Here is an 18,668-nt window from a genome sequence, read left to right on the forward strand (position 1 = left end):
TCCAGTATTTGGGGATAAGAAAGATGTAAGAATATATGAAAATATGTCTGCATTCTGGATATTAACCTAGTGTTCTGTGTATTATATACATTTTTCCCCATTGGGACAGACAATTATTTTAAAAGTTGTCAACTGTATCTATCATGAAGATCTTCTAGTGCTACCAACAAGTACATATTTTGGTCAACACTGTCCTCTTTGGAAAATAGGCAAGGAAAGAATCCAACTGCTTTATTCCATTAGAGTAAATATTCCAGCAGCTGGATCTAATATGTTCCATTAAGGTCAGGAAAACTGAGGACAGCTGGCATGGAAATAAGTCATCCTTTCATGTTGGTTGTGCAATGAAAAGTATTTCTAACCAGGCCACTGGAAATATTCTACCTTCTCAATATGTACTCAGCACTAAAAATAGATTAAGAGTTTAATTAGAAACTAGCTTTTCCTACAAAACCCAGTAAGTTCCACAATTTTGTAATCTTACTCTGAGAAAGCTAAAGTAATATATTTGTTGCTTGAAAAAAGCAATGCTAAGTATTCATTTGTTAAGAGTATCTATGCATGAGAACCTACAAACTATGTTTAAATTAAAATGTAAAATCATTTCCCAGAACCAGAACAGGAGCACTTAGAAGGAAAGTGGTCACAATCGAATCACTCGGTCTTACTTGTAGCCATTGCCATGTTCTGGGGTGGTTCCAAGATGGCCGAATAGGAACAGCTCCAGTCTACAGCTCCCAGCATGAGCGACACAGAAGATGGGTGATTTCTCCATTTCCAACTGAGGTACCGGGTTCATCTCACTGGGGATTGTCAGACAGTGGGTGCAGGACAGTGGGTGCAGAGCACCGAGCATGAGCCGAAGCAGGGCGAGGCATCGCCTCACCCGGGAACCACAAGGAGTCAGAGAATTCCCTTTCCTAGCCAAGGGAAGTGGGGACAAACAGCACCTGGAAAATCGGGTCACTCCCACCCTAATACTGCACTTTTCCGACAGTCTTAGCAAACAGCACACCAGGAGATTATATCCCGCGCATGGCTCACAGGGTCCTACACCCACGGAGCCTCACTGATTGCTAGCACAGCAGTCTGAGATCAAACTGCAACGTGGCAGCGAGGCTGGGGGAGGGGCGCCCACCATTGCGGAGGCTTGAGTAGGTAAACAAAGCGGCTGCAAAGCTCGAACTGGGTGGAGCTCACCGCAGCTCAAGGAGGCCTGCCTGCCTCTGTAGACTCCACCTCTGGGGGCAGGGCATAGCCAAACAAAAGGCAGCAGAAACCTCTGCAGACTTAAATGTCCCTGTCTGACAGCTTGGAAGACAGCAGTGGTTCTCCCAGCACGGAGCTTGAGATCTGAGAACGGACAGACTGCCTCCTCAAGTGGTTCCCTGACCCCCAAGTAGCCTAACTGGGAGGCACCCCCCAGTAGGGGCAGATTGACACCTCACACGGCCGGGTATCCCTCTGAGATGAAACTTCCAGAGGAACGATCAGGCAGCAACATTTGCTGTTCACCAATATTTGCTGTTCTGCAGCCTCCACTGCTGATACCCAGGCAAAAAGGGTCTGGAGTGGACCTCCAGAAAACTCTAACAGACCTGCAGCTGAGGGTCCTGACTGTTAGAAGGAAAACTAACAAACAGAGAGGACATCCACACCAAAACCCCATCTGTACATCACCATCATCAAAACCAAAGGTAGATAAAACCACAAAGAGGGGAAAAAACAGAGCAGAAAAACTGAAAATTCAAAAAATCAGAGCATCTCTCCTCCTCCAAAGGAATGCAGCTCCTCACCAGCAATGGAACAAAGCTGGATGGAGAATGACTTTGACAAGTTGAGAGAAGAAGGCTACAGATGATCGAATTTCTCCGAGCTAAAGGAGGAAGTTCAAACCCAACACAAAGAAGTTAAAAACCTTGAAAAAAGATTAGACGAATGGCTAACTAGAATCACCAATGCAGATAAGTCCTTAAAGGACCTGATGGAGCTGAAAACCATGGCACAAGAACTACGTGACGAATGCACAAGCTTCAGTAGCTGATTCGATCAACTAGAAGAAAGGGTATCAGTGATGGAAGATCAAATGAATGAAATGAAGTGAGAAGAGAAGTTTAGAGAAAAAAGAATAAAAAGAAATGAACAAAGCCTCCAAGAAATATGGGACTATGTGAAAAGACCAAATCTACGTCTGATTGGTGTACCTGAAAGTGACAGGGAGAATGGAACCAAGTTGGAAAACACTCTGCAGGATATTATCCAGGAGAACTTCCCCAACCTAGCAAGGCAGGCCAACATTCAAATTCAGGAAATACAGAGAATGCCACAAAGATACTCCTCGAGAAGAGCAACTCCAAGACACATAATTGTCAGATTCACCAAAGTTGAAATGAAGGCAAAAATGTTAAGGGCAGCCAGAGAGAAAGGTCGGGTTACCCACAAAGGGAAGCCCATCAGACTAACAGCTGATCTCTTGGCAGAAACTCTACAAGCCAGAAGAGAGTGGGGGCCAATATTCAGCATTCTTAAAGAAAAGAATGTTCAACCCAGAATTTCATATCCAGCCAAACTAAGCTTCATAAGTGAAGGAGAAATAAAATACTTTACAGACAAGCAAATGCTGAGAGATTCTGTCACCACCAGGCCTGCCCTACAAGAACTCCTGAAGGAAGCATTAAACATAGAAAGGAACAACTGGTACCAGCCACTGCAAAAACATGCCAAATTGTAAAGACCATCGATGCTAGGAAGAAACTGCATCAACTAACGAGCAAAATAACCAGCTAACATCATAATGACAGGATCAAATTCACACATAACAATATTAACCTTAAATGTAAATGGGCTGAATGCTCCAATTAAAAGACACAGACTGGCAAACTGGATGAAGAGTCAAGACCCGTCAGTGTGCTATATTCAGGAAACCCATCTCATGTGCAGAGACACACATAGGCTCAAAATAAAGGGATGGAGGAAGATCTACCAAGCAAATGGAAAACAAAAAGAGGCAGGGGTTGCAATCCTAGTCTCTGATAAAACAGACTTTAAACCAACAAAGATCAAAAGAGACAAAGAAGGCCATTACATAATGGTAAAGGGATCAATTCAACAAGAAGAGCTAACTATCTTAAATATACATGCACCCAATATAGGAGCACCCAGATTCATAAAGCAGGTCCTTAGAGACCTACAAAGAGACTTAGACTCCCACACAATAATAATGGGAGACTTTAACACCCGACTGTCAACATTAGACAGATCAATGAGACAGAAGGTTAACAAGGATATCCAGAAATTGAACTCAGCTCTGCACCAAGTGGACCTAATAGACATCTACAGAACTCTCCACCCCAAATCAACAGAATATACATTCTTCTCAGCACCACACTGCACTTACTCCAAAATTGGCCACATAGTTGGAAGTAAAGCACTCCTCAGCAAATGTAAAAGAACAGAAATTATAACAAACTGTCTCTCAGACCACAGTGCAATCAAACTAGAACTCAGGATTAAGAAACTCACTCAAAACCGCTCAACTACATGGAAACTGAACAACCTGCTCCTGAATGACTACTGGGTACATAATGAAATGAAGGCAGAAATAAAGATGTTCTTTGAAACCAATGAGAATAAAGGCACAATATACCAGAATCTCTGGGACACATTTAAAGCAGTGTGTAGAGGGAAATTTATAGCACTAAATGCCCACAAGAGAAAGCAGGAAAGATCTAAAATTGACACCCTAACATCACAATTAAAAGAACTAGAGAAGCAAGAGCAAACACATTCAAAAGCTAGCAGAAGGCAAGAAATAACTAAGATCAGAGCAGAACTGAAGAAGATAGAGACAGAAAAAACCCTTCAAAAAAATCAATGAATCCAGGAGCTGGTTTTTTGAAAAGATCAACAAAATTGATAGACCGCTAGCAAGAGTAAGAAAGAAGAAAAGAGAGAAGAATCAAATATACACAATAAAAATTGATAAAGGGGATATCACCACAGATCCCACAGAAATACAAACTACCATCAGAGAATACTATGAACACCCCTACGCAAATAAACTAGAAAATCTAGAAGAAATGGATAAATTCCTTGACATATACACTCTCCCAAGACTAAACCAGGAAGAAGTTGAATCTCTGAATAGACCAATAACAGGCTCTGAAATTGAGGCAATAATTAATAGCTTACCAACCAAAAAAAGTCCAGGACCAGACGGATTCACAGCCGAATTCTACCAGAGGTACAAGGAGGAGCTGGTACCATTCCTTCTGAAACTATTCCAATCAATAGAAAAAGAGGGAATCCTCCCTAACTCATTTTATGAGGCCAACATCATCCTGATACCAAAGCCTAGCAGAGACACAACAAAAAAAGAGAATTTTAGACCAATATCCCTGATGAACATTGATGCAAAAATCCTCAATAAAATACTGGCAAACTGAATCCAGCAGCACATCAAAAAGCTTATCCACCTTGATCAAGTGGGCTTCATCCCTGGGATGCAAGGCTGGTTCAACATACACAAATCAATAAATGTAATCCAGCATATAAACAGAACCAATGACAAAAACTAAATGATCATTTCAATAGATGCAGAAAAGGCCTTTGACAAAATTCAATAGCCCTTCATGCTAAAAACTCTCAATAAATTAGGTATTGATGGGATGTATCTCAAAACAATAAGAGCTATTTATGACAAACCCACAGCCAATATCATACTGAATGGGCAAAAACTGGAAGCATTCCCTTTGAAAACTGGCACAAGACAGGGATGCCCTCCCTCTCTCACCACTCCTATTCAACACAGTGTTGGAAGTTCTGGCCAGGGCAATTAGGCAGGAGAAAGAAATAAAGGGTATTCAGTTAGGAAAAGAAGAAGTCAAATTGTCCCTGTTTGCAGATAACATGATTGTATATCTAGAAAACCCCATCGTCTCAGCCCAGAATCTCAAGGTGATAAGCAACTTCAGCAAAGTCTCAGGATACAAAAATCAATGTGCAAAAATCACAAGCATTCTTATACACCAATAACAGACAAACAGAGAGCCAAATCATGAGTGAAATCCCATTCACAATTGCTTCAAAGAGAATAAAATACCTAGGAATCCAACTTACAAGGGAGGTGAAGGACCTCTCCAAGGAGAACTACAAACCACTGCTCAATGAAATAAAAGAGGATACAAACAAATGGAAGAACATTCCATGCTCATGGGTAGGAAGAATCAATATCGTGAAAACGGCCATACTGCCCAAGGTAATTTATAGATTCAATGCCATCCCCATCAAGCTACCAATGACTTTCTTCACAGAATTGGGAAAAACTACTTTAAAGTTCATATGGAACCAAAAAAGAGCCTGCATTGCCAAGTCAATCCTAAGCCAAAAGAACAAAGCTGGAAGCATCACGCTACCTGACTTCAAACTATACTACCAGGCTACAGTAACCAAAACAGCATGGTACTGGTGCCAAAACAGAGATATAGACCAATGGAACAGAACAGAGCCCTCAGAAATAATACCACACATCTACAACCATCTGACCTTTGACAAACCTGACAAAAACGAGAAATGGGGAAAGGATTCCCTATTTAACAAATGGTGCTGGGAAAACTGGTTAGCCATATGTAGAAAGCTGAAACTGGATCCCTTCCTTACACCTTATACAAAAATTAATTCAAGATGGATTAAAGACTTAAACGTTAGACCTAAAACCATAAAAACCCTAGAAGAAAACCTAGGCATTACCATTCAGGACATAGGCATGGGCAAGGACTTCATGTCTAAACCACCAAAAGCAATGGCAACAAAAGCCAAAATTGACAAATGGGATCTAATTAAACTAAAGAGCTTCTGCACAGCAAAAGAAACTACCATCAGAGTGAACAGGCAACCTACAGAATGGGAGAAAATTTCTGCAATCTACTCATCTGACAAAGGGCTAATATCCAGAATCTACAAAGAACTCAAACAATTTCACAAGAAAAAAAACAACCCCATCAACAAGTGGGTGAAGGATATGAACAGACACTTCTCAAAAGAAGACATTTATGCAGCCAACAGACACATGAAAAAATGCTCATCATCACTGGCCATCAGAGAAATGCAAATCAAAACCACAATGAGATACCATCTCACACCAGTTAGAATGGCGATCATTAAAAAGTCAGGAAACAACAGGTACTAGAGAGGATGCAGAGAAATAGGAACTTTTACACTGTTGGTGGGACTGTAAACTGGTTCAACCATTGTGGAAGACAGTGTGGCGATTCCTCAGGGATCTAGAACCAGAAATACCATTTGACCCAGCCATCCCATTACTGGGTATATACTCAAAGGATTATAAATCATGCTGCTATAAAGACACATGCACACGTATGTTTATTGCGGCACTATTCACAATAGCAAAGACCTGGAACCAACCCAAATGTCCAACAATGATAGACTGGATTAAGAAAATGTGGCACATACACACCATGGAATACTATGCAGCCATAAACAATGATGAGTTCATGTCCTTTCTAGGGACATGGATGAAGCCGGAAACCATCATTCTCAGCAAACCATCGCAAGGACAAAAAACCAAACGTCGCATGTTCTCACTCATAGGTGGGAATTGAACAATGAGAACACTTGGACACAGGAAGGGGAACATCACACACTGGGGCCTGTTTTGGGGTGGGGGGAGGGGGGAGGGATAGCATTAGGAGATATACCTAATGTAAATGACGAGTTAATGGGTGCAGCACACCAACATGGCACATGTATACATATGTAACAAACCTGCACGCTGTGCACATGTACCCTAGAACTTAAAGTATAATAATAAAAAAAAAAATGTAAAATCACATTTGAAGAAAAGTTAGGAAGTATGCAGGATGTGAATTTACCCACTTCAGCTTGGGTAAAGTTTGAGGGTCATTGCATGAAGACCCTATAAACAGATAACATAACAATACTTGAATTTGCAAAAGACTTCCTGGGCAAAATTTTAGTGGCCTCATGTTGTAATGTCTGAAATTGAGAAGGCTGTTTATATTAGCTACTAAAACCACTGCCTCTGTTACTAATGAAACTACTTCATATACCTGGATACACTCACCTGCCTTTTATATTAGGCTGGCACACAGTTATGTAGCAGTGACTGCTCAGTAACAATTAGGTAATTGCACTTTTTCTGACATTCTGTGTATACATTGTCAGAGCATCCTTTTACAGATTGACTCTATAGTGTTGAACCCCAGGAATTAAGTGAATGCACTCAGGTTATTCTTAAGATTGAATATATTAATATATGCACAAGTACACTTATAGTAATCCAGATTTATATACCACAAATTGGAGAGTGATTAAATATTCTTAACTTAGAAAAAAGCTTACCCAAGACTCACTCTTAGTTATCAACCTCCTCTACTGGCTTTGACATGATTCAGTTTGCTTTATTATGACATTTTCTGATTACAGGAGTTCTGTGACCTGAACGGTACACTTGTAAACCTGTATTCTCTGTTCCTAGTAACATATAGTTCAGGACTGGAAAAGAGCTATAGAAATTCCATAAGTACTTAACCAACCACCTCACCTTTCTATGAGTTTCACAACAGGATGTTTTTATTTTTTACCTTCGTTTCCCCAACACTCTCTGGTAATGAAACAACTGAGAAATAAAACCACCCAGGGAGGCGGGGAAAATCCAACACACTGGTTTCATCTAGAGTTGTTGTCCTGTATAAAGAAACCAAAAACACTTAAGAGTCTCTTTTTCAAGTAAAAGCGTAAAACTGATGTGAATTCAGTCTCAGTTTTAAGATCAGAAGGACTCTATAGCCTGAGTTGCAGGGTTGGCTGCTCTCATTATCTGAAGTTTCAAGAGGCCCTGAAGTAGAAATGAGGAAATTTTAAAGTGTCATTTTAGAAAAATCCCTGCCTCTTTAAGGGCCGATTATAAACGAACATAGGCAATGTCTGGATTTTTTAAAAAGTTTTATTGAAATGTAGTAAGTTCTAAAATAAGGCAGAGAGGTCATATATTTAATGCTGAAAGGGGAAAGTGATGCTCAAAGTCACACAAAGGCTGCAGGATTTGCTGACTCAACACCTTTGGGGCTAGAAAGAAATGAGGAGTGAGCTGGATGCAGTGGCTCACGCCTATAATCTCAGCACTTTGGGAGGCCAAGGCCAGCAGATTACTTGAGCTCATGAGTTCAACACCAGCCTGGGCAACATGGTGAAATCCCGTCTCTACAAAAAATACAAAAATTAGCTGGGTGTGGTGGTGTGTGCCTGCAGTCCCAGCTATTTGGGATGCTGAAGTGGGAGGATGGCTTAAGCCCAGGTGGCAGAAGTTGCAGTGAGCTGAGATCACACCACTGCACTCCAGCCTGGGCAACAGAGCAAGACCCTGTCTTAACAACAAAAAACGCTGGGTGCAGTGGCTCACACCTGTAATCCCAGCACTTTGGGAGGCTGAGGCAGGTAGATCACTTGAGGTCAAGAGTTTGAGACCAGCCTGGCCAACATGGTGAAACCCCATCTCCACTAAAAATGTGGTGCCTGTAATCCCAGCTATTCAGGAGGCTGAAGGAGGAGAATCGATTAAACCGGGGAGGTAGAGGTTACAGTGAACTGAGATCACGTCAATGCATTCCCACCTTGGCGACAGGGCAAGACTCTTCTCAAAAAAATAACAACAAACAACAACAACAACAACAACAAATTTAAGGAAACAAATTCCTGGTTAGGAAGGTGGGTGAAAAAAAAAATCTATACATGTAGGCAAGCAGTTTGTGATATGTGGACTAATATTCCAAATCTCACTCTAGTACTAATCTCATGCTACTTGGTATAAATAGGTATTTTAAAGTGAAACATTTAGCATTCCCTAGGAGATTCAACAATACAAATATTGGCCACTCCTAGAAATAGACTTTGGACCTAGAAACAGTGTTTGGTATGTTAATGGGAATAGTGGGAAGAAAATACATTGGCGGACTATACAAATATTAGAAAGAAGATAAATATCTTCACTATCTTATGTCAGGACTTACAAGCTAAATGTTAGAAGTTTCCTCTTTTTTTGCCTAAAACTTGAATGCCAGAATGAGCTGAGTTACAATGCAGCACGGAAAACTGATCACTGGTTAAAGTGTGGTTTCTGGATCTTGTTACTGGATATTAAAGCTCTTTGGCAATGCCTTCATATCTGTTTAATGACTAGAAAACAATTCAAGAAAAGTGACGACAAAGACAATAATTACAAAATAGGCTGATAACCAGAGTTAATTATGATTGCCAAACAGAAGAAATGTTTTTTTAAGAAATGATGTGTTAATATGATGTGTTAATATCAGTAGATACAAAGGATATAATCTGGTTGACTAAAATCAAACTGAAATTTCACTGACATAGTAAAGTATCACTTTACAAGATAGTCAATTTGACCAGTTCATTGTGAAAAAGAGCATTGTTCTCTTTTCTTTCTCACTTGTGATCCAGACAAAACAAATATCTGATATATCAAAACAATATTTAAAAAAAAAATACAAAAGTTCTATCAGTTTCATATAACCTTAAAACTCTACCCAAACTGAGATGCTCAGGTTTACATAAATATATATACATATATATCTTTTAAATCCCAGAGTCCAAGACACAAGCCCATAGGGGTGTGTGGCCATCAGAGGCCAATCGTTTAACTCTGGGAGTGTATGACTGTTATGAGGTGGGTGGGTCTCTGACCTACATTTATAGCTGTCAGTTTTGAACACCCTTCCCATGAGGAAATCTTTGCCTTTTGTTCAAAACGTCTGAACAAAACTCACCTCTGAACTAACAGAGACGTTAACGGGACACCTGGCACAAAAAGGGCTTAGAAAAACATGTTCTTATAGAGTCTCTCAGGCTGTCAGTCATCTAGACACAAGTGAGTCAGCGTCCATGGTGTTCAGAAGATAGAGTTCAGGCTGAGCTGTCAATCCCAGATGGCACTAAGGAAAAAAAGATGGAAGAGGGTTAGACTGATTTTCACGTATTTATTGAAATCAGCTTTTAAGTACCTATAATTAGCACATCAATTTAGGCCTTTTTTTCTGTACTGCTATATTGATTTTTATTTCAGAAAAGAAATGGCTTACAGATACATACATGAATGGCTTCTGATATGCAAAATAACAGGTAGGAGCTGAAATAGTTAAGGACTGAGATGGTACCAAATGTCCTTAGCAAAATTAGCACTCTGACTATTCTTGTGACACACTCTGCCTAAGGATGGGTGCTTCAAATCAGGATAAGAACAAACAAGCAGAATGCTTTTGTATTTTACTACTGTGTGAATTAGAAATCAAATTCCCAATGGTTTCAATCCTGAGCCCTATTATCCTTTGGCACTGGAGCAGAGAAAAGCCTTTCATTTAAAAAACAAAAACATGAAATGGCATGTACCAAGAGGGAGAAAGATGACCTGTGGGTCCCAAATGTTTGTCAGCCTGCATCAGAATCACCGAAGCTGCTTTTAAAACACAATTCCCAGCTGGGTGCGGTGGCTCACGCCTGTAAACCCAGCACTTTGGGAGGCCAAGGTGGGCGGATCATGAGGTCAGGAGATCGAGACCATCCTGGCCAACATGATGAAACTCCGTCTCTACTAAAAATACAAAAAAAATTAGCTGGGTGTGGTGGCACACACCTGTAATCCCAGCTAATCGGGAGGCTGAGGCAGGAGAATCACTTGAACCCAGGAGGCAGAGATTGCAGTGAGCCGAGATTGCACCACTGCACTCCAGCCTGGCGACAGAGTCAGACTCCGTCTCAAAAAACAAAACAGCAAACAAACAAAAAACAATTCCGACTGGGCACGGTGTCTCATGCCTGTAATCCCAGCACTGTGGGAGGCCGAGGCGCATGGATCACCTCAGGTCAGAAGTTCAAGACCAGCCTGACCAACATGGCGAAACCCCTCGACTAAAAATACAAAAATTAGCGGGGCATGGTGGCGCATGCCTGTAATCCCAGCTACTCACGAGGCTGAGGCAGGAGAAACACTTGAATCCAGGAGGCAGAGGCTGCAGTGAGCTGAGATCATGCCACTGCACTCCGGCCTGGGCAACACAGCGAGACTCCGTCAAAAAAAAAAAAAAAAAAACCCACAATTCCAGACTCCACTCCTAAAGAACTGAGTCTAGATGGTTTGTGTTGGGACCTGTGAAGTTGTTATTTTTTTTGTAGAGACAAGGCCTCACTATGTCACTCACGCTGGAGTGCCAATGACACAATCTTGGCTCACTGCCACCTCTACCTCCTGGGCTTCAGCCATCCTCCCATCTCAGCCTCCCAAGTAGCTAGGACTATAGGCGTGTGCCACCACACTCAGCTAATTTTTTTGTAGACAGGGTTTTGCCATGTTTCCTAGGCTGGCTATGAAGTTATTTCTTTTTACTTTTTCTCTTCTCGAATACACCTTGAGACAAGTTTGAGTCTCATTTTAGCCCTATTATTATTACGCAGAGCTTTTATTGTTATCCTTTGGCACCAACAGCCTCTAAGTTAATGCAGAATGCAGACTATAAATTTATTGGTAGCAACTATCCCTATTTTAGTGTAATATAAAGGCACTGGAGTTGGGTTCAAGCCCTTAACTCTGCCACTTTCTATGGCCTTCAGCATGTCACATATACTTTTGGAGCCTTATTCTACTCATTTGTAAAATGTGAATAAATGCTACATTTGAAAATGCCAAGTACAGCCAGGCACAGTGGCTCACACCTGTAATCCCAGCACTTTGAGAGGCCGAGGCAGGCAGATCACTTGAGGTCAGGAGTTCGAGAGCAGCCTGACCAACATGGTAAAACCCTGGCTTTACTGAAAATACAAAAATTAGCCAGGTGCAGTGGCTCACGTTTGTAATCCCAGCACTTAGGGAGGCTGAGGTGGGTGGATCATGAGGTCAGGGGTTTGAGACCAGCCTGGCCAACATGGTGAATCCCCATCTCTAAAAATACAAAAATTAGCTGGCCTTAGTGGTGTGTGCCTGTAGTCCCAGTTACTTGGGAGGCAGAGGCAGGAGAATTGCTTGAACCTGGGAAGGGAAGGTTGCAGTGAGCTGAGATCGCACCACTGCACTCCAGCCTGGGCAACAGAGTGAGACTCCATCTTAAAAAAAAAAAATTATCCAGGCATGGTGGTGGGCACCTGTAATCCCAGCTACTCGGGAGGCTGAGGCAGGAGAATTGCTTGAACCTGGGAGGCAGAGGTGGCAGTGAGCCGAGATCATAGCACTGCACTCCAGCCTGGGTGACAAAGCTCGACTCCATCTCAGAAAAAAAAAAAAAGAAAATGCCAAGTACACCAATATACTATCTCATGTGAGTCTTCGACACATATATTTAACACATTACAAACTGCAGTGTATAACCTCACAGGCTTGCAGTGATGACTGTGTGAAGACAGATTAGACCAAATGATGCCCAGGATAAAACTATTTCCAACTAGTGGGCTAGGAAAACACTGTATTACACTGGCTTTAGGACATGGAAACAGCTCTTCAGACATCAGCTTGCTTAATTTAGGCTTAAGTAAATAACAGCAATTAAATATATTGACAATTCATTGAAGCCTTTCCCAAGTGAGCAATGGTGGTAGACTTCTTCAATACGTAGTAAGCAAGGGTTGCAGTATTGGTCCTGTGATGCCCACAGAGTGTCACTTAGATGACTTAGTTGATAGACCACTTTCATTGGAGATGTTTGTTATATTGTTCTGAGACATTGAGAAATGAGACTAAATGGCCTGGAAATAGGCTAAAATACTTCCGGGGGCAGAGAGCTAATGCAAATGAGTGAACTTATTAACTAGTAACTCTTGGCTATTGCTGGGATAGGACCATAGAGGGCCCTGTCCATTCTCTACACTTGCCAAAAGCATTCAAACTTACTTTTAAAAATTCTGCACAGGGACCAAAATCTACCAGTTGGCAACTTCTGCCTAATGCATATTCTAGCACTAATCAGAGTATGAAACAAATGCTTCAGTGTGTTATGTTCCTTGTGCTGCTAAACAACAAAGCTTGGTGACAACCCAACATGAAGGGTATACTATATATTACACAGGATAGTTTGGGAATGAAAACATGGGTTCTGGAGTTAAGCTATGCGAGTTCAAATGCCAACTGCACATTTCATTAGTAATGTAAATGTGGGCAAGTTACTTTTGGCCTTCCAGTTGACTCATCTACATAGAGGCTGATCCTCTTGTTGTTACAAGGATTAAATGAGATAATACAACTGTTCAGGCCAGGCCTTAGAACACAGTACTGAGTTAGCCATTTTTAAATTCATAAGCTAAGGGACTTAGAGAAGCTGACAGATTTAGATTCATTGGTCCTACCAATGAAGGAGCAGAAGGTATTCCAGAGGGCAGAGCTAAAGGAAATGTTTCAAAACAGGATCCTCACATTGTTTTGAATCCTATTTTAGTTCTGAAATTAAATCCAAAGTAAAGAGAGAGCACTAAATGAGGAAGGACAACATGGAGAACAAAATTCTTCCTAGATGAATTCCACTGTGTTACTCACAGGGAAGCCTTGCAACAGAGAAAGGGAAAATGAAGTTCTGGTGACACTCCTGGGACAAATCAAGTGCTGACTCAAGTTTTCCTGTCATGTGCCTAGTAAAGTTCACTGTGCCTGAGCTCTGCCTTTGTTTTTAATAAATGGTGTCAATATTTCCATTTATATCAGGTCTGCCAAAATGCTCCTTGGTCTTTAAGCTAAATGAGTTTGGTTTCTCTTCAAATACTAATTTTTCATTGGCAGCACATATAGAATGTAAAAGTGAAACAGTGAAATAAGCTACAGGTAGAAAATAGTCAGCTTAGAGAAAAGCAGAATAAAATTTTTTTCCCAAGTTTCAACATGGTAATGATGTGACCTTTAGCTATGGTAAAACTATTTGACTAAGTGGGTAAATGGAAATTAATATCCTGGTATCTGCAATTAATCCAAGCTTTCTGAGGACTAAATCCATTTATTTCTCTATCCTTTCTAAGGAGAAAATCCTAACAGTGTGGACTTAGTGTGCCATTCCAGGTGGTAGTTGCTGTTTCAGTATTTTTTGTATCAAAGTTGTTGTAACCCTATTAATAAATTATTTCAAGGTTAAAAAAATACCCAGGAAACCAAATTGGAAAAAGAAATTTTTTTTTAATTAGAAACCAAGTTTACATACGGTTAAATGGTTACTAAAAGCTCAGTTGTAACCACTCCTAACACCACTAGCAGAACCTCAAGGGAGCCAAGAGCTCTTCCCTTTTCCCCTGTTAATTTCCAGTATAATGTAGCAGCACAATTATTTCATGTCACATTTAAGAAGAACAAGAACCAATTTATATAAAGTACAATTGTATATCCTTAAACATTCCACATAAACACACTGTCAAAACTCACTGGATATGCTGGAATTGGAGGACTTAAATTTCTACATATTATTTATTGCACCCAGAGTACTGGTTAAAATGCACTTTCTGTGAAGATCAAATGCAATAACGTATGAGGGTATTTTTAACACTGTGAAGTACACACATAATATTATAAAATGCCATTTAATTGGAAGGAGTTTTCTATCATTGCAAGTCATAAATATAACTTTTAAAAGAATACTAGCAGCTTTTACCTAGGCTCCTAAATGCTTGTAAATCTGAGACTGACTGGACCCACCCAGACCCAGGGCAAAGATACATGTTACCATATCATCTTTATAAAGAATTTTTTTTTTGTCGTCAGTTTGGCCTTTCCTACTGCAGCCAGGTGAGAGCTTAAGATGTCAGTCCCCAATATCTTCACAGAGTGCCTTTATGACCAGTTTGGAGAATTACGATGGTAAGGGGAAGAGGCAGATATGAAGAGGAATGGTTAGGGGAATTGTCATTCATAACTCTGTGCTATATTACTTGAGGGGCTAAGAAAAATGTATGGTCAGTGAAACACAGTAGTGTACCCTTAAATGCCTTATAAAAGACCATCCATCCAGTCTGCGCTTTTGACTGTGTGCAAGTATCAGTAATAATGCTTTTGGGGGCTCAGATGAACAGCGAACACCAATCAGCCAGGACTCTGGAAGGAAAGCTCCAAAAATGAGAAGTCCTTCAACACCATTTTCCATTACTGTTCTCACCAAATCAATGACTATAAAACAGTTTTGATTATTTATCTCCATCAAAGTGATTTGATTTGAGATAATCACACAATCTCAGGCTCGGTATGTAAAAATGTCAGAAGTGGCTGAAGTAAAAGCAGCAGCTTTGTGCTGAAGACACCCATTTCCTCTGACTCCAGAGCTCCACCATCTGGTCTCAAGATTTTTCCCTCTGAGGAAACAGCTGTAGAGAGGTAGCCCAGTTCAACTTTGCTGAGACAGTGAACTTTGCAACCATACTAACACCTACTGACTTGCAGAGAACGCTGAGAAAGACAGTGTGCTTTGCAACGGTTAAGTCCACAGCTCCTGAGATTGCCTCGCAAGTCATCTTGGGCATGAAGCAGAGCGGTGCATCAGAAAAACATGACGATTCTGCTGAGAGGTGGCTTTAGGAACAAAATAGATGGCTCTCCTCCCTTAAAGTCTTTTCTCCCCACCCTCAACATTTCACGAGAACATCAGTTCATAAATACTACCATCTGTTTCTATCACCACCCTCCTGGAGAAAGAAAGTTAAGGTTTTACAACCACATGTGCTCAAGAGTAAATATCATCAGGAAAGCTCTGTACTAACAGGCAGGTTATTAAGACTCCCAAGAAATCCTCATAAGCTTTTCAATCTGAGGAAAATCCTGAGAAGGTAATTAGTAAGCACCACCTAGCGATGTGGTGCTGGTTTTGTTAGTTGTCAGTTTTTCCCCTTCTTTGTTTTCTCACCCCTCTTAACTTCCACTGAGAAATTAAAGTGGAAATAAGTTCAAAGAATCCTAAGCCTGATAGAGCTAGGTGTCTCTTCATTTTATATTTCATATGGATGAAGCTATTCTAGTTGATAATTTGGTATAATTAAAATAACTGAAAAGGTAGGTATAAGGAAAATTTCTCAGCCTTTAAAAATCCATTACATTTTGATAAATAAAACTTGCATACTCATTCTGTAGTTTGTATAATAAAAAATGTATTGCATTTTCCAATTTTTTTTTAACATATAGCCTGGTTAAGAATCATGCATATCCTTGTCTCTCCGAAGGATAAACTGAGCTGGCCCTTGGGCAACTACTTAAGAATTTAGTGTTGGAATGATAGCAGCAAATGTCAGCTTTTCAAAGATCCCACCCTAATCCAGTTCTAAGGTTAGGTCAGGAAGGAAAAAATAATTCCATCTTTCAAATACACATGAAACAAAGTCTTTTCCAACCAACGGTTGAGTCATAAACACAGTCTGTGCAACGGCACATACTTTTGGCTATGTTCACACAGTAAACCATAGAAACACACTGGCTCTGATGGCTACCTGCAGAAGACAGACTAATCCAGTGTTATTTAACGTAGCCACGGGTGGCTTCTTCTGTCAGCAGGCCTTTAGAGATGCTTACCGTATGCCCACAGTCCAGGAAGGACATGCCCAGTGCAATCAAACATTGCCAACCCTGAAAGACAAAATATGGTCATCACTCACCAGGCTCTTTGAAGAGCCATGACTGCTCACACAGCACTTCTCAAATGCAAACCTGCTCCCTTCCTTGAACATCCAGCTGTGCCCATCTTCTACCACCAAGGGTTGCACAAGTCATTCTCTCAACCCCACTCCCCCTTCAAAAAATCAGCTGCCTTCCTCAACAAAGTTTGTCCATACTATTTTAAATATTGAATTTCTCTGTTCTTACTGCTTTGTGTCTGTGGTTTTCCTTTTTTTTAAAATCTTTATTATTATTTTACATTTTAGAGACAAGGTCTCCCTCTATTGCTCAGGCTGGAGTATAGTGGTGCAATCATAGCTCACTGAAGCCTCGAATTCCTGGGCTCAAGCAATCCTCTCTCCTCAGCCTCCTGAGTTGCCAGGATTACAGACGCACACCACCATGCCCAGCTAATTTATTTTTTTTTGTAGAGACAAGGTGTCTTGCTATATTTCTCAAGCTGGTCTGAAACTCCTAACCTCAAGCAATCCTCCTGGCTCGGCCTCCCAAAGCACTGAAATTACAAGCGTGAGCCACCTCGTCCAGCCTGTTGTTTGTTTCTTTTACCCAACTGTAAGTTCTCGGAAGTCCACTTTTCCTCAGTCCTCCCCATGATAAGAATGACTAACAGACTAATACAATTGGTGTAGTCTCCTAAGCTGCTCTATGAAGTTCCTGTTTTGAAGTTAAACAACAGTAACCCACTCTAGAATCAGCCCTCTCCTCTCAAAATGGGTCTTCAAGCCAGACACGGTGGCTCATGCCTGTAATCCCAACACTTCAGGAGGCTGAGGCAGGTGGATCACCTGAGGTCAAGAGTTTGAGACCAGCCTGGCCAACATGGCAAAACCCCATCTCTACTAAAAATACAAAAATTAGCCAGGCATGGTTAGCACATGGCTGTAGTCCCAACTACTCAGGAGGCTAAGGCAGGCGAATCACTTGAACCCAGGAGGCAGAGGTTGCAGTGAGCTAAGATCATGCCACTATACCCTAGCTTGGGCGATAGAGAAAAACTCTGTCTCAAAAATAATAATAATAATGGGTCTTCAACAAGCTCATTAGCCTTAGGCTGACTGAGGACAAACTGGCATCTTCATATCCAATTTGCATTCTGAAAGGATCCCCCTAACTTCTATAGTGAATTTTTAAAAACAATTCCTGTCAAGGACACATTCAGTTACTTGGTTTTCCTTGAAGTTAAGTTCCTAGATCATAGGGTCAGTACAGTCTTTGTGTGCACAAAGTTTATTGGGAAGAAAAAAAGAAGAGATCTAGGAAATAATTTTTCAACATTTACTGAAGTGATTTTCTTAATAAAGTATCTAATGTGTGGCACACTGGTGTGGGGAAGTGTTCTAGAGATTAACAGCAGGTTTCCAGCCTCCATCTGTAGCCATTCTCTGCAGCAAAAATGGTATAAATTCTACTATTCCTTATCCCTAACCCCTGTGTCTTTTCAAAGAAACCTGTATAGAACAGGGAAATGGATCTGTTGTTATTTTGGCTGTTTTTCATTAATATAAGCAATGCTAAAGAAGATTTGGAAAATAGAGAAGAATATATCTATAATCCTAGCTTCCTACAACAACTATATTGCCATTTTTATATAATTCTAGACTTCTTAAAAAATTTTTTATAATTGAAATATAAATTTTACATACCTTTTTCATGTAGCTATAGTTTTATAACCATGATTTTTAAAAAATGACTCTAGAATGAGAGAGTCAAGGGGAGACTATCACTATTTAATTATTTCCTTGGACAGCTAGTAAGTGATGGAGCTGAGTGGGGCTGTGTGCCACATGTGTCCCACCCCGAATCTCTAAATCACACTGCATGCCCTATTCTCCACCTCTGTTTTGTACCGTTCTCCACTCTCTGTACTGCTACCCTTCTTTTAGTTCCTCAAACATACTATACTCTCTTGTTAGGAATTACTAAGAATGGAAACTACAGAAGTGACAGAAATTGAAAAATGACAAATCTTAGTAACCAAAGTGAATTTTATGGTTAGAAA

At 40.6% G+C, this 18,668-nt stretch overlaps 2 protein-coding genes across 40 annotated transcripts in view, besides 1 other annotated feature; one reads left to right on the plus strand and one right to left on the minus strand.

Annotated features, from left to right (window-relative positions):
• The window catches only part of HIGD1C (HIG1 hypoxia inducible domain family member 1C), a 41,483-nt gene extending 40,708 nt beyond the window's left edge, over nucleotides 1-775 (plus strand). For all 3 annotated transcript variants that reach the window (XM_017019783.3, XM_011538649.3, XM_017019785.2), the window contains one exon: nucleotides 612-775. In XM_017019783.3, coding sequence (XP_016875272.1) covers nucleotides 612-715 — 104 coding nt within the window. In that variant the 3' untranslated portion in view covers nucleotides 716-775. The remainder of the gene's footprint in view (nucleotides 1-611) is intronic.
• SLC11A2 (solute carrier family 11 member 2) overlaps nucleotides 1-18,668 on the minus strand; it is a 76,624-nt gene that overhangs the window by 19,555 nt on the left and 38,401 nt on the right. For 14 of the 37 annotated variants that reach the window (NR_183176.1, NR_183175.1, NR_033421.2 and 11 more), the window contains one exon: nucleotides 14,175-16,618. Coding sequence is in view for 21 of the 37 variants with exons in the window: in NM_001379455.1 (NP_001366384.1) it covers nucleotides 16,508-16,618 (111 nt within the window). In the remaining 16 variants the exon portion in view is untranslated. Of the gene's footprint in view, nucleotides 1-7,589; nucleotides 7,726-7,966; nucleotides 9,987-14,174; nucleotides 16,619-18,668 lie in introns of those variants that run through there. The other 23 variants (NR_183177.1, NR_183178.1, XM_047428887.1 and 20 more) reach the window with 5 other exon arrangements.
• Nucleotides 9,876-10,076: a silencer, noted in NCBI's record as "peak1733 fragment used in MPRA reporter construct". NCBI's record gives its function as "represses an SCP1 promoter by STARR-seq MPRAs in K562 erythroleukemia cells {active_cell/tissue: K562}" and the evidence as "EXISTENCE:reporter gene assay evidence [ECO:0000049][PMID:32103011]".

The sequence above is a fragment of the Homo sapiens genome, chromosome 12 (assembly GCF_000001405.40).
Source record: "Homo sapiens chromosome 12, GRCh38.p14 Primary Assembly".
Classification (NCBI taxonomy): Eukaryota; Metazoa; Chordata; class Mammalia; order Primates; family Hominidae; genus Homo; species Homo sapiens.